The 15,705-nt window shown below is 47.2% G+C and overlaps 1 protein-coding gene, 2 long non-coding RNA genes and 1 pseudogene across 3 annotated transcripts in view, besides 2 other annotated features; 3 read left to right on the forward strand and 1 right to left on the reverse strand.

Moving 5' to 3' along the window:
• Positions 1 to 10,281, forward strand: part of ZNF8-ERVK3-1 (ZNF8-ERVK3-1 readthrough (NMD candidate)) — a 36,692-nt gene extending 26,411 nt beyond the window's left edge. The window contains exons 5-7 of the long non-coding RNA NR_144447.1: positions 712 to 840; positions 6,790 to 7,086; positions 9,372 to 10,281. This is a non-coding gene — a long non-coding RNA (ZNF8-ERVK3-1 readthrough (NMD candidate)). The remainder of the gene's footprint in view (positions 1 to 711; positions 841 to 6,789; positions 7,087 to 9,371) is intronic.
• On the forward strand, positions 1 to 11,436 carry ERVK3-1 (endogenous retrovirus group K3 member 1). The gene is made up of 4 exons (NM_001396080.1): positions 1 to 69; positions 712 to 840; positions 6,790 to 7,086; positions 9,372 to 11,436. Exons 3-4 carry the CDS (start codon positions 6,793 to 6,795, stop codon positions 9,405 to 9,407), a joined length of 330 nt encoding a protein of 109 aa, NP_001383009.1. The 5' UTR covers positions 1 to 69; positions 712 to 840; positions 6,790 to 6,792; the 3' UTR covers positions 9,408 to 11,436.
• Positions 207 to 707: an enhancer, noted in NCBI's record as "H3K27ac hESC enhancer chr19:58816949-58817449 (GRCh37/hg19 assembly coordinates)". NCBI's record gives its function as "activates a minimal SCP1, AML or CMV promoter by ChIP-STARR-seq in naive and primed H9 embryonic stem cells {active_cell/tissue: H9 hESC(naive and primed)}" and the evidence as "EXISTENCE:reporter gene assay evidence [ECO:0000049][PMID:30033119]".
• Positions 5,327 to 5,621: a silencer, noted in NCBI's record as "tiled region #7439; HepG2 Repressive non-DNase unmatched - State 12:CtcfO". NCBI's record gives its function as "represses a minimal TATA promoter and a strong SV40 promoter by Sharpr-MPRA in HepG2 cells {active_cell/tissue: HepG2}" and the evidence as "EXISTENCE:reporter gene assay evidence [ECO:0000049][PMID:27701403]".
• The window catches only part of LOC105372480 (uncharacterized), a 12,299-nt gene continuing 6,167 nt past the window's right edge, over positions 9,574 to 15,705 (reverse strand). Inside the window, exon 3 of the long non-coding RNA NR_144444.1 lies at positions 9,574 to 9,660. This is a non-coding gene — a long non-coding RNA (uncharacterized LOC105372480). The remainder of the gene's footprint in view (positions 9,661 to 15,705) is intronic.
• On the forward strand, positions 13,901 to 15,113 carry LOC100887072 (zinc finger protein 470 pseudogene; annotated as a pseudogene).

Raw genomic sequence — 15,705 nt, forward strand, 5'->3', positions numbered from 1 at the left:
AGTGTGTAAGACGCTCACGGGCGCGCGGACTATCGGGCGGCTAGGCTCTCTGAGGAGGCTGCCACAGTGGTGAGTGGTGTGTGGAGGAGAGGCGAGGGTGATTGTGAGGGATGGAGAGGCGCCCGTGGCCTAAGTGTGCTGATGGTGGGAGTGAATGAGTGGACGGGTGGGACCTGTGAGGGGAACGCGACCCCGGGTCGGCGCGGGCAGAGAGGCGCGCGGTGCGTGAGGGCGCGACCTGCCATGTCCTGCCGGGTGTCACCGCTTATGCGCCCGTGGGAGGGGAGCATTCTGTGTTGGAGGCAGAAGGAATGAGGGTCGTGACCAACTCATTATACCACTGGAGGCTCTATGAGCAAACCGCAAACTGTTCTCATGAAAGCAGGATGTTGGTAAACTGACAAACTGCGTCTGCCGCCAGAAGGAATGCTGGGGGCAGTCATGTCCCAGGTCCCCTGCTCCTTGAGGTTATCTACAGGAACATCTGGAACCTGCTGAACAAAGAAAGCAGTCATGTGGGCCTGTGTTAAATCAAATAGCTGACCGTCAGTTACCCTTTCCTCCCTATTCAGTCTACCTAACAAATATGAAGGGCTGTAAAAGCTCAGGGCCCTGTTCCCTAGAATCTAGGAGCCCCCTGACCCCTTCTTTCAAACAGATCCTTTTGTCTTTGTCTTCATTTCTGCCTTCGTTCTCCTTCGTTTGGTCCAGAAGCAACCGTGACAAGTGGTGCCCGACCAGGGACCTGAACGAGGAAGGTCTGCCAGAGCAGAGAAAGTGAAACTGATCAGACGAACTACGAACCCCTGGACGGGAGAGTCTGCCGGCGGAGAATATAAGGTCAGTTCCCTGAGAAGGTATCGGGAGCGGGAGGTTTCTGAATCAGGGTAACATGGGGCAGAATCTGTCTGTTGAGGAGCAACATTATGTGCAGCTGCTTAAAGTTTTACTTAAACAATCTGGTGCTCGGGTTAGTTCTCAAACATTAAGCTTCTGCAGGAGGTTATTACACATAACCCATGGTTTCTGCAGACAGGTACTCTTGCTGTGGAAAATTGAGACTGAGTAGGAGAAAGATTGAAACGAGCTCATCAGAAAGTTCTTAAAGTGGATCCTTCTATTTTCTCTGCTTGGGGTTTGGTCTGTACTGTCCTCCTGCCATTGTCCTCTTCTTATTCTGCCAGACAGCAGGTGCTATGTTCTGAATCTCAAAAATTGAAAGAATCTTTTGTCTCACCAGCAGCGCCCATTGAAAATGATAAACAGGAGAGGGAGGATGAGAACTGGCCTGTACTGTCCCCTCCAGTAGCAGAAATAGAGACCCCAGTACAAAAAATTCTACATGCTGTGGCCATAGCTGGCGAGCCACTAGGACCTTGCACTTTTCCTATTACCTTAAGGCCTGATCCAAATAATCCACAGCAGTTTATTCATGAACACACTCCAGTAAAATTTAAATTATTGAAAGAATTAAAAGCTAGTGTGGTTAATAATGGAATACAGAGCCCATTTACTTTAGGATTGTTAGAATCTGTATTCAGCACTATGCGCCTCCCACCCTTGGATATAAAGCATTTAGCTTGCACTTGTTTCTCTGCTAGTGCATATTTGACATGGAATTTAAATTGGCAAGAAATGTGTGCAGACCAGGCTAGACAGAATCTCACCGCTGGACATGGGAACATTACAGAGGAAATGCTATTGGGTAGTGACTCTTATTCAGATCTGGTGCAACAATTGACACTTCCAGATGCTGCTTACCATCAGTGCGCCTGGCCGCTAAGCGTGCCTGGGCCACCATTCCTGAGAAAGGGGTCTCAATAAAATCTTTTCCGCATATCATGCAAAAATCACAGGAGCCCTTTGCACAATTTATTGCACAGTTACAACAGTCAGTGAGGCATCAGATTCCTCATACTGCTCCTGCGAAAATGCTTACTTTGACCCTAGCTTTTGAAAATGCAAATGCAGATTGTAAATGTGCATTAGCACCCGTGAGATGTACAAACAGCTTGGGAAATTTTCTCAAAGCCTGTCAGGATGTGGGAACTGAACTCCATCGTTCAACTGTGTTAGCTCAAGTAATAGCTAATTTAGTAGTGAACAAATCTGAAAAGGGCCAAGGGTTGAGCCCTAAAGTGGGAAAATGTTATAATTGTGGAAAAATTGGACATTTCAAAAAAGAATACCATCAGACCTCTGGGCAGAAGGGATCTTACAATGCAATACCGCCCCCCCCTCCCCGCCCCGCTCCCCCCAACACACACACACAGAAAAAAAAACACCAGGACTTTGCCCTCGCCGTAATAAAGGAAATCATTGGGCTAATCAGTGTTGCTCAAAATTTCATCAGAATGGCACCCCGCTCTCAGGAAATGAGAATGGGGCCTGGGCCCCTCAAACAATGAGGGCATTCCCCATCCAGGCCACAACCCTGCTACAGGGGTGGGTTCCTGGAGGAACATTGACTCCCTCTCCTCTGGAACACCGGGGAGTGCAGGATTAGATCGCTCAGTCAGAGAATGGGTCACGTTAGTTGGAGGAGACAAACCCACCAGAATTCCCACAGGCATTTGGGAACCTTTGCCAACAGGATATACAGGATTAATTTTAGGCCAAAGCCATCTGAACTTACAGGGCATTACTGTGATCCCTGGATTGTTGACTCTGATTATGAAGGAGAAATTCAAGTAATTGTAATGTCACAAGATCTTTGGGTTTTTAAACCTGGGAAATATATTGCTCAGCTATTGCTTATTATTATTCTCTGCAAATTACACCCTTCTTCACGAAAGGAGAAAAGAGGAAATCAAGAATTTGGGAGTACAACTACACAGGAAATTTACCTATCCCAACCCATAGCTTCTAATTGACCCACCTGTGCAGTGCAAATTAAAGGAAAGAAGTGTTGTGGGTGTATGGACACAGGAGCAGATGTTTCAGTAATATCCAAAAACAATTGGCCCCTGCTACTAACCTCTGCATCCTTAGTGGGAGTAGGAACAGCTCAAAGTGTTTAACAGAGTGCTGAAATTTTACTTTGTGTCAGTCCAGATGGACAGCCATGTACTTTTCAACCTTATGTTGCAAATATACGTGTTAATCTCTGGGGCTGAGATTTACTTACAGCATGGGATGTGAGACTTACAAATGAAAAGGTTGATAATCCAGGATTTAAAATATTGAAGGAAATGGGATATCAGAGTGGGAAAGGCTTGGGAAAGTTCCTACAGGGAAACCCCGGTCCGGTATCGGTAACTGGGCAAACAGATAGGAAAGGGCTAGGTCATCAGGATTTCTGATAGGGGTCATTGATACTTCTTCTCCACCCACTGCCTTGCTGCTAGAGTGGCTGACTGATAAACCTGTGTGGGTGGATCAATGGCCCCTATCACAGGAGAAAACTGACTCAACTCCATCAGCTGGTAAGAAAGCAATTGGATGCAGGACATATAAAAGTATCAGTTAGTGCTTGGAATTCACCAGTATTTGTGACCCCCAAAACGTCAGGAAAATGGCAACTGCTGCATAATTTGAGAGCTGTTAATGCACAAATTAAACCAGTGGGTGCATTACAGCAAGGTCTGCCATCCCCGGCAACCATTCCAAGAGATTAGCCTCTTGTAGTAATAGATCTTAAAGACTGTTTTTTCACTATACCATTACACAAGAAGGACAAGCCTCAATTCGCCTTCTCTGTGCCTTCTATTAATCAGAGAGAGCCTGTCTCTTGTGATCAATGAAAAGTTTTATTACCCCAGGCATGCTCAACAGTCCTACGTTATGTCAGCATTTTGTAGGAAAAGCATTGAAGGAGCCTCGGAATATGTTTTCCACCACCTACATCATTCATTATATGGATAATATTGTTTTGGCCACTCCTACAGATCAAGTATTATACCAGTTATTCAGAGAAATAAAATGGGCTTTAACTAAATGGAATCTCAAAATAGCTCCTGAAAAGGTACAAACAACCTCCTCATACCAATACTTAGATACTACTGTTACTGAAAAAAGTATTCAGCCTCAGAAAGTAGCTCTTCGTAAGAACAAATTACAAACTCTGAATAACTTAGGGGATATTAATTGGCTGCGCCCAATGCTAGGTATTGCTTCTTATCAACTCACTCATGTTTATCAAACCCTCCAAGGAGATTCTTCATTAGATTCCCCTCGGCAACTTACTAAGGAGGCAGAAGCTGAATTACAGCTTGTAGAAAGATGCTTCAGCAACGACATGCCTCCTGGCTACAACCACAAAAGTCTTTGGTTTTGTTTATTCTTCCTACCCCCCATTCTCCATCAGGACTTTTAGCTCAATTCATAGACAAAACTATAATGGTAATAGAATGGCTTTTTTTATCCAGTCAAACAGTAAAATCTTTGCAAGTTTATCTTGCTTTAGTCACACAACTTATAACAATAGGCAGGCATAGATCAAAAATGCTTACAGGATATGATCCTGATAAAATTATTGTTACCTTGGATTCCCAACAACAGGCTGCGGCCTGGGAGATGTCCACTGCATGGCAAATCACTTTCGCAGATTTTGTAGAAATAATAGATAACCATTATCCATCAGACAAAATTTTGCAGTTTTATAAAATTCACCCTTTTATTCCCCCTGTGATTGCTCATCACAAACCCATTTCAGGTGGACAGACCTATTTTACCGATGGCTCTTCCAAAAGCCACACAGCCATTTATGGACCTAAATATACTTAAATAATAAAGACCCCTAGAGTTTCAGCTCAACACTCTGAATTAATGGCAGTTATTCAAGTTTTAAAGCTCACAGCTTTATTTCCTATTAATATTGTCTGTAATTCAGCCTATGTCGTAAATGTAGCTAGTTGCATTAAAACTGCCACTATCAAGAGTGTACGGACCAGCCCCACAGGGTCGGTGGGTCTCTCCCTGTGTGCGGCGACGAGAGAGTGTAGAAATAAAGACACAAGACAAAGAGATAAAAGGCAGCTGGGCCTGGGGGACCACTACCACCAATGCGCGGAGACCGGTAGTGGCCCCGAATGTCTGGCTGCGCTCTTATTTATTGGATACAAAGCAAAAGGGGCAGGGTAAAGAGTGTGAGTCATCTCCAATGATAGGTAAGGTCACGTGGGTCATGTGTCCACTGGTCAGGGGGCCCTTCCCTGCCTGGCAGCCGAGGCAGAGAGGGAGAGGAGACAGAGAGAAAGACAGCTTACGCCATTATTTCTGCATATCAGGGACTATTAGTACTTTCACTAATTTACTACTGCTATCTAGAAGGCAGAGCCAGGTGTACAGGATGGAACATGAAGGCGGACTAGGAGCGTGACCACTGAAGCACAGAATCACAGGGAGACGGTTAGGCCTCCGGATAACTGTGGGCGAGCCTGACTAATGTCAGGCCCTCCACAAGAGGTGGAGGAGCAGAGTCTTCTCTAACCTCCCCCAGGGAAAGGGAGACCGCCCCCCACCCTTTCCCGGTCTGCTAAGTAGCGGGTGTTGTTCCTTGACACTTTTCGCTACCGCTAGACCACGGTCTTCCCAAACGCTGGCGTCACCACTAGACCAAGGAGCCCTCTGGTGGCCCTGTCTGGGCATAACAGAAGGCTCGCACTCTTGTCTTCTGGTCACACCTCACTATGTCCCCTCAGCTCCTATCTCTGTATGGCCTGGTTTTTCCTAGGCTATGATTATAGAGCAAGGATTATTGTAATATTGGAATAAAAAGTAATTGCTACAAACTAATGATTAATGATATTCATATATAATCATATCTAAGATCTATATCTGGTATAACTATTCTTGTTTTATATTTTATTATACTGGAACAGCCCGTGTCCTCTGTCTCTTGCTTCGGCGCCTGGATGGCTTGCCGCCCACACAAGAGCACCTTAAAACCAGAACTGCTTAACCTATTTCTGAGACTCCAAAAAGCTGTTCGCTCTCATGCTGCCCCTTTTCATATTTCTCATATCCGATCTCACACACAACTTCCTGGGGCCACTATCTCTAGGTAATGATAGAGCAGATAAATTCATCAGTTCTATATTTCAACAAGCCCAAGCTTCCCATGCTTTACTGCATCAGAACAACTTGCCCTTACTCGTATGTTTCATCTGCCTCGCAGCCAGGCTTGAGTTATTGTGCAAGCCTGCCCCACTTGCCAGCATGTCCCTGGTGTTGCACCTGTGGAAGGATGCAACCCACGAGGCTTGGCTCCAAATGAAATCTGGCAGATGGATGTTACATATATATAGCAGCCTTTGGCTAACTCCGCTATGTTCATGTAATATAGACACTTACTCCCATATGTTACATGCCACATGCCAAACTGGGGAAACAGCTGGTCATGTCTGACGATACTGTCTGTCGTCATTTGCCCATATGGGGGTCCCTAAACAATTTAAAACTGACAGTGGACTCGCTTATGTTAGTCATGCTTTCCCAATTTTTTACAATTGTGGGCAATCAATCATAAAACAGGAATTCCATACAATCCCTGAGGGCCAGGCATTATTGAGCGGGTACATCAAACACTACAACGCATGCTGAAAAAACAAAAAGGGAGAATAGGGGACCAATTACCACTTCAAACAAAATTACATTTAGCCTTGTTTACTTTAAATTGTTTGACTCCTGGTACGGATGGCAAGACCCCAGCAGAACGACACTGGCAACTGCTAGAGGAAAAGAGGCAAGTTTATCCAAAAGTGTTATGGAAATCCCCAGAAGAAGGACAATGGAAAGGTCCGGTGGATTTGCTGACGTGGGGACGAGGGTATGCTTGTGTTTTTACAGGAGATGGACAAACCGTGTGGGTGCCCTCCAGGTGTGTGTGACCATGGAACGGGAGACCGGAGGGATCCATGGTATTCAACCGTGGGCCTGTTACCTCCAGTACGAGCCATGAGCCAGCGGAATCTGAATGCAAAGACAGAACAAGGGCCGACCGGAGTCACAATGACATCCAACCCCATAACATGGGGACAGATCAAGAAAACGACACAAGAAGCTGAGAAACTACTGGAGCGCCAGGGTCAGGCAAAAACCCCTGACTCCATGTTCTTGGCCATGCTAGCTGTAGTGTCCTGTGCGGTATGTTTCCCCTGTGTAGAGGCAAAAACATATTGGGCATATGTTCCTAACCCACTGGTAGTACGACTGGTACTCTGGAGCGACACTCCTCCTGAGATATATTATGATCAGGGAGCGTGGGCACCAGGACCCCTAACTCCGTCTGACACAGAGCAATAGCATCAATTACACCGGCCCATTGGAAGGACTCCCTTTATGTATCACCATGGATACGTCACTCAACTGCAGCTGTCTTGCAGTCCAATCTCAGGCATGGTTAAGTCACCATGGAAAAATTATGTATTTATTAGGCCTCAGCTTTATTAATGTTACTGGCGTGTTCACCAATCACTCCTAGCCCCATCACTCAAATTGTATGGATTATATGGAATGGGCTCCCTTTGATATTTCTCACCCCCCTCCTTGGACCCAGTGTCTTGGCCCCTTGGCCAGACAACAGTCTATGTTAATGGGAAACATTGACTGGGGTCCCCGTGGCCATTTAGAGGGGAGAGATGAAAATCAGACCTCTTGGCACAAACTTCACTGGCACTGGTGGTGGACCTTCAACACCTCTTCATCACATCACACTGGGATTCAGTCCCCCAGTTGGCTGCACAACTTGCTTGGTATAGGACAGGCTTTAACCCGCCCTTACCTCAGTGACGTCATCTAGGAAACAGAGGCCCAATTCAGGAATCGATATGGAAGGCAACACTCCCATTTATGAATAACAGCATCTGGGTCAGAACATTATCCAACAATAGTAATATTACTCAACACAGTTTTAATATCACCTTTGTAAAAAATATTACCACTCAATTTACGGTTTGTGGGTTTTTTGTTGTTGTTGTTAACTGTTTGAGATGGAGTCTCACTCTGTCGCCCAGGCTGGAGTGCAGTGGCGCAATCTCGGGTCACTGCAACCTTTGCCTCCCGGGTTCAAGCAATTGTCTGCCTCAGCCTCCCGAGTAGCTGGGATTACAGGCACCCGCCACCGTGCCAGGCTATTTTTTGTTTTTTGTATTTTTAATAGAAACGGGATTTCACCTTCTTGGCCAGGCTGCTCTTGAATTCCTGACCTCGTGATCCACCCGCCTTGGCTTCCCAAAGTGCTGGGATTACAGGCGTGAGCCACCATGCCCGGCCAGTTTGTGTTTTTAATCCCTATGTTTTTCTAGCATCTAAGAAGGACCAACTCCACGTAAACATCACCCAGTTGACTTGTGACTCTTGTCAACTGTATCACTGCCTCAATCATAGCACAATACAAACACACAACATATCCACTCTAATAATTCTGGGTCGTATCCCTGGATTATGGATCCCTGTCAATTTGTGCAAACCTTGGGCTGCCACCCCTGCTTTACATTTTGTAAAACTCCTTCTTACCCAGCTCACTCATCGTGCACGTAAAGCCTTAAACATAGTAATTTTTACTGTAATCTCCTTAGTCACACTAATAACCTCGGTTGTAGTGTCCTCAGTAGCACTACATAGTTCTATTCAAACAGCCCAATATGTAGAAAATTGGACATGTACAGCCAACCAGGCATGGATGCTTCAAAATAAAATTAATACCGAATTACAAACAAAGGTAGCAATGTTAAAGGCTACTGTTCTGTGGCTGGGAAAGCAGGTACAAAGTTTGCAATTGTAGCAGCAATTGCACTGTCATTTCAATCATATTCATATTTGTGTGACCAATTTGGAATAGAACCAAAGTGAATATCCATGGAACCTTGTAAAAGCTCATTTGCAGGGAGCTTTTACATCCAATATTACTTTTGATATCAGTAACTTACAGAGTAAAATTCTTAACTTGAATAAGCAAACTCAAAAATAACAGCCCTTTTTAGAAGCTTAAACAGAATTCCAGCAGGGCTTAGAAAGCCTCAACCCTGGCCGGGTGCGGTGGCTCACGCCTATAATCCCAGCACTTTGGGAGGCCGAGGCAGGCAGATCACGAGGTCAGAAGATCGAGACCATCCTGGCTAAAACAGTGAAACCCCATCTCTACTAAAAATACAAAAAAATTAGCTGGGTGTGGTGGCGGGCACCTGTAGTCCCAGCTAATCAGGAGGCTGAGGTGGGAGAATGACGTGAACCCGGGAGGCAGAGCTTGCAGTGAGCCAAGATGGCGCCACTGCACTCCAGCCTGGGTGACAGAGCGAGACTCCATCTCAAAAAAAAAAAAAAAAAAAAAAAAGCCTCAACCCTTGGACCTACCTTAAACATAACTTCAATGTCTCTTTTATAATAATTACAAGAATAATGTTGTTATGTCTCTGTTTTTTTGCTCATAGTCTATAGGATCGGGTGAACCACCAACCGGCAATTGAAAGCTGCACAGCCTGAAATTACCTTTATTCAATTAATGCAAAAACAAAAGGGGAGATGTTGGAGGCCGAAGGAATGAGGGTCGTGACCAACTCAGTATACCACTGGAGGCTCTGTGAGCAAACAGCAAACTGTTCTCATGAAAGCAGGATGTTGGCGAACTGACAAACTCTGTCTGCCGCCAGAAGGAATGCTGGGGGCAGTCATGTCCCAGGTCCCGTGCTCCTTGAGGTTATCCACAGGAACATCCAGAACCTGTTGAACAAAGAAAGGAATCATGTGGGCCTGTGTTAAATCAAATAGCTGACCGACAGTTATCCCTTCCTCCCTATTCACTCTACCTAATAAATATGAAGGGCTGTAAAAGCTCAGGTCCCTGTTCCCTAATATCAAGGAGCCCCCTGACCCCTTCTTTCAAACAGATCCTTTTGTCTGTCTCATTTCTGCATTCGTCGTCCTTCGTTCGGTCCAGAAGCAACCGCGACAGTCCTGCATGTGTTGATGCCACCTGTATGTGCAGGTGTGACCTCAGGTGTGTGAGTATCCCTCATACCCCTTATCATCACTGCCTATTCGCTCTTCCTCCAGCCTCTGGCAACCACTAATCCACGTTATATGTCTAGATTTGCCTCTTCTGGACACTTCATATAAATGGAGTCATACAATATGTGGTTTCTTGTGTCTGGCTTTTTACCACTGAACGTTTTCAGAGTTCATCCATGTTGTAGCATGTATCAGTTTTTCATTCCTCTTTATGGCTGAATAATACTGCATTGTATGGATATACCACAGTTTGTTTACTCATTAGTTCATAGACATTGGGGTTGTTTCCAACTCTCTGATATTATAAATGCTACTGCTGTGAAAATTCATGTACAGGTGTTTGTGTGGATGTATATTTTTAATTTGGGAAGGGGAGGCCATGGGTGGGACCTAGGCTTGTGAAGAGCCTGGCCTGGGTGTATCTGTTTGTCCGAGGAGTGCCTGTATGCATGGCCATGACCACACCCACTCCTTGCTGCCTGTGCTCATTAGCCATACTTCATTTTCCAGAATCCCAGGCCTGGGCCCCTGAAGTCAAAGCCAGGAGCCTAGAGCCACACTGATGTGTAGGATCAAAGAGAAGGCGGCAGTGGCCCTGGAAACAAACCTGTCTCTGCAAGAGTCACTAGCAACCTGGGACCTCTGCCCAGGACTGAGACCTCGGGTGCCCCCTACCCTGTAGCTGCTGAGGCCAAGCAATGTGGAGACAGAGAGAGGGTGAGGTGATGGAGCCTGAGGTGCCGAGTGAGGTAGATGGTGGGGTGGCAGTCACAGTGGCACAGGAGGCAGGTACAGGGCTAGATGTTTTCAGAAACCAGATATCCCTCTAAAACACACCCTGCTTCTGCTGCCTTCATTCCACTGCCCTGCCTTCCTCAGCCTGCTCTACACCACTACCTCCTCATGGTTCTCCTGCCTCCCGTTGCCCCCTTCATCACTCTCCACTCAGCATTGGGTAGAGAGGGTCTTTTACCCCTGACTGATGAGGCCACCCCTCTCTTTAAACCCTCCATCACTGCCCAGGCCATCAGAGTATGGTTGGCAAACTCTTCTGTAAAACACAAGCAGCAGGCTGGGCGCAGTGGCTCATGCCTGTAATCCCAGCATTTTGGGAGGCTGAGGCAGGCCTGAGGTTGGGCCTATGAGACCAGCCTGGCCAACATGGTGAAACCCTGTCTCTACTAAAAATACAAAAAATTAGCTGGGCGTGGTGATGCATGCCTGTAATCCCAGCTACTCGGGAGGCTGAGGCAGGTGAATCGCTTGTTCCCAGGACATAGAGATTGTGGTGAGCCAAGATCGTGCCTTTGCACTCCAGCCTGGGCAACGAGCGAAACTCTGTCTCAAAAACCAAACAAAAAACACACAAGCAGCAAATGTCAGCTTTGTAGGCTCAGAGAGAAAACCAAGAATGTTACAAAGGTACCTATCTAACAAGAGAAAAACATGTCCATACATTTTATTAATAAAATCCAAAACTTTGTTAAATGTAATTCATTCCTTAATGAGCAAAAAGCTTTTCACAGGAGGTTCCATTTTATAGATAGGAAACAGACCCCAAGGGAGGTGAGCAGCCCAGAATTACAGCAGAGAGTGGTGAAGATTTGATCCTAGATCTGACAGCCTCTACCATCATACTTGCCATTCTCAGCTTAGGAATAAGATGGGGAGGAAGGTGTGGGTAATGGGCAAATCAGGGCCCAAATAGTCTGTTCAGTACTCTTGTCTCGTGGGAAGGAACAAAAGGCCCCACATCTGCCCTTCCTCCTGGGAGTCTCTGTTAGGACCTGAATTCAGTACAGCAGGAATGATCAATTTTTCTCTTTAGAGCACTCACCCACTTGACATCTCACTTTGTTCTCACATAGTCCTCATAGAGGTATCCTGTGGCTGCTGTCCTTGAAGCCTGATAGCATGGAGCTGAGGCCTCAGACTATAACAGGGCACATAATTTTCATGAAGTTCAAGAAGAGGCTGGGCTGGGCGCGGTGGCTCATGCCTGTAGTCCTAGCACTTTGGGAGGCCAAGGAGGGTAGATCACCTGAGGTCAGGAATTCGAGACCAGCCTGGCTGACGTGGCAAAACCCTGTCTCTACTAAAAATACAAAAATTATCCTGGCATGGTGGCAGGTGCCTATAATCCCAGCTACTCGGGAGGCTGAGGCAGGAGAAGCGCTTGAATCCGGGGGGCAGAGCTTCCAATGAGCCAAGATTGCACTATTTCACCCCAGCCTGGACAAAAGAGGAAAACTACGTCTTAAAAAAAAAAAAAAAAAATTAGGCTGGGACACCTTTCCTGGAAGGGCTACTTACTACAGGGGAGCTGTCTAAGGTGCTGAAATGTCCTAGCCCTGCGCTGTCCAATATGGTAGTTATGATTAAATTCAAATAAAATTACAAGTTCCATGTCCCAGTCACACCAGCTATGTTTCCAGTACTCAGGAGCTACCTGACACTGATGGTGCCATATTGGACAGCACAACTCCAGAACTTTTCCATCCTCACAGAACATTCTAGAATTTAATTTGAATGCTAGTTACACAGGGCTGTGCATTTACCAAATTCACTAAGCTGAGCACTTGTAATTCTGTAAAACATGTATATGTATTTTTGAAAGCACAAAGTTTCACGTCCCCGCCTGCCAGTCACTTTACCAAACAACCTTTGGTTTAACTTCTCTGTGCCCCAGTTTCCCAACCTGTAAAAGAGAGTAATGATACCTCCCCTTTGATTGGTTGAGAGTACCACCAAAGGTGTTTGCTGGGTGGCCTGACCTGCAGGAGGTGCTCAGGAAAGGGGAGCTGCTGCTGTCATTTGGTGGAAGTGGGTCCCCTTATCTGGCTAGCAGATGCCTTGAGTTATGGTGAGTATGATGGGGACAGACTCCCAGGAGGATGGAATGGCATCACTCTGTGGAAAGACTGTGAAACAGAACACGAACACCTCATGGCATCTTTGCTGCCTAGAGCCATGCCACTTGCACACCCTCCTTCTGCTCCTGACTCCCAGGAAGGCAAGGGGGTCACTGGGCTTGGGGCTCCACAGAAAGAGGCTTCCTGATTTGATGCTTAAGAGCTGTGCCTCAGACGCCTGCCTCTAAAACAGAAAGCCGTCCACACAGACACCCCACCTCATCTGGGTACCTCCTCTGGACCTAGGCTGGGTCCCCACAGGCAGCCACAGCCATCTATGCTGCTGCCCCCACACTGCCTCTGGCTGTGGGCTTCTCGAGGGCTTGCTGTGTGATGCTGAGTTCCTTAACGTGGAGACAATGTGTTGGAGTGTGGCAGTGTTCAGGCCCTGCTAGCCAAATAAGGGGACCCACTTCCACCAAATGACAGCAGCAGCTCCCCTTTCCTGAGCACCTCCTGCAGGTCAGGCTGCTCAGCAAACACCTTTGATGGTACTCTCAACCAATCAAAGGGGAGCTATCATCATTACCCTCTTTTACAGGTTGGGAAACTGGGGCACAGAAAAGTTAAACCAAAGGTTGTTTGGTAAGTGACTGGCAGGCAGAGATGTGAAACTTTGTGCTTTCAAAAATACATGTATATTTTTTACAGACGTACATGTGCTCAGCTTAGTGAGGAAACTAGGAAACAGGCCCAGAGCTGGGATATGGTCAGTCAGTGGCATGAAGAGCCGAGAGTGGAGCCTGGCAGGAATTTCCAGCTGGCATCCATTTGTTACTGAATATCAGGGCACTCCCCCAGAGACACAAGCCACCCCTAACCACATTCTGGAAAACGATCTCACGTGTGTTTCCGTCCTAGATCAGGGGTGCTCCTGCCAAGGAGAGGGTGTATGTGGGGAGGCCTGCAGCTGTTTCCCAGACCTTAATCAGCCACAAGGAGTCCACGCTGGGGAGGGTGTACTGCCATGTAGTGGGTGGGAAGATACCTTTGGCAAGAACACGTGCCTTGTGAGCTATCAGCAGATTCCCAACAAAAGGAGACCCTGTACGTGCGAAGAGTGTGGCAAGGCCTTTGGACAGAGAAGTCACCTTGTTCAGCACACCAGTGAGAAGCTGTATGCATGCCAGGAATGTGGGTGTACCTTCAGCAACAATTCATCTCTAGTCAAGCACTGGCACGTCCACACAGGCGAGAAGCCCTACATGTGTGGCCACTGTGGCAAGTGCTTCCGAGAGAGCTCATCCCTTGCCAAGCACCAGCGTGTGCACACAGGTGAGAAGCCATACGTGTGTGGTGAGTGTGGACGCACCTTCAGCGAGAGCACACACCTTGTACAGCACTGGTGATTCCACACCGGGGAAAAGCCATTTGCCTGCCAAGAGCAGCAAAGCCTTTGCTGACTTCTCGGCCCTCCTTGCATGCCACGGAACCTACACGGGTGAGAGGCCCTACGAGTGCCGGGTATGCTGCAAGGCATTCAGCCCCAGCTTGTCCCTGGCTGAGCACATACGCTGCCACACGGGAGAGAAGCTGTATGCGTGTCAGGAATGTGGGAAAGCTTTCAGCCACAGCTCATCCCTCAGCAAGCACCAGCAGGTACACACAGGTGAGTGGCCCTATGTGTGTGCAGAATGTGGAAAGGCCTTCAGCCAGGGGTCCTACCTGACCCAGCACCTCAAGATCCACAGCGGTGAGAAGCCGTACATACGTGGTGAGTAAAGGAAGCCATTCGGTGACTCCTCAGCCCTGGTCCTACACCAGCGGGTGCACACAGGCGAGCATCCTTATGCATGTGGAAAATGTGGGAAGACTTTCAGCCACAGCAAGTTTCTCACCCAGCATGAGCAAGTCCGCATGGGAGAGAAGCCCTTCATGTGTGGTGACTGTGGAAGAGCCTTCATGCAAACCTCATCCCTCGCCCTCCATCAGAGGACTCACAATGGGGAGAAGCCCTACAAGTGGAATGAGTGTGGCAAGTCCTGCATCCAGATGTCACACCTCACCGAGTATTACCAGGTACACGCTGGGGAACGACCCTTTCAGCCGTGGCACACACCTCACGCAGCACCAGCATGTGCATGCATGTACCAAGCCATTCATATGCCATATATGTCAGAAAACCTTCCAGGAGGCCACAACTCTTGTACTACATGAGAGGATTCCCTGGAGAGAAGCCCTTTTGAGTGTTGTGAGTGTGGCAAAGCCTTCCGCCAAAGCAGATTCCTGGCCCAGCACCAGAGAATTCATTCCCAGGGAAAACCATGTGAATACATGGATATCAGAAAGCCCTCAGTGACGCTTTGGTTCTTGTATGTCAGTGAACTGGGCATGTGCCAAATATGGCAGAGATCTTCCCATCTATCCTTGGTGTGTTGTCCTTTGCACCGGGGTGGCAGGTGAAGAGGGACTGTGAGTGTGAGGAAATCAGGGTCAGTGTGAGAAGCCCCTATTATACATTTCTCCCTTCAGGGTCACCGGGGCGGGTGAGGAAGCTGGGAGTGGGCCTAGGATATGTCTTTCAGATGTCACATGGAGATACTTCTCCATAATTATCAAGGGGCACAATGGCCACTTCCACTTTAATTAGATTCCCATGGATGCTAACCAAGTGGTAGGAGGTACACAGGTATGAACAGGTTTCCTCTCAGCAGTCCTAGAAGACTTTATTTCAGTTTTTGCCAAGACAAAAATGAAATTTAAAAAATGTGGGTTTTTTTGTTTTTTGTTTTTTTGTTTTTTTGAGACGGAGTCTTGCTTTGTCGCCCAGGCTAGAGTGCAGTGGCGCAATCTCGGCTCACTGCCAACCTCCGCCTCCTGGGTTCAAGTGATTCTCCTGCCTCAT

This window comes from Homo sapiens, chromosome 19, assembly GCF_000001405.40.
Source record: "Homo sapiens chromosome 19, GRCh38.p14 Primary Assembly".
NCBI classification, from domain to species: Eukaryota; Metazoa; Chordata; class Mammalia; order Primates; family Hominidae; genus Homo; species Homo sapiens.

What these genes read in the sequence shown, in the direction of transcription:
- ERVK3-1 (NM_001396080.1), top strand. Translation starts at nt 6,793, where the DNA reads ATGGACAAACCGTGTGGGTGCCCTCCAGGTGTGTGTGACCATGGAACG. An exon ending in TAGCTGTAGTGTCCTGTGCG is followed by an intron (nt 7,087 to 9,371) that starts GTATGTTTCCCC and finishes TTTTGCTCATAG; the next exon opens with TCTATAGGATCGGGTGAACC.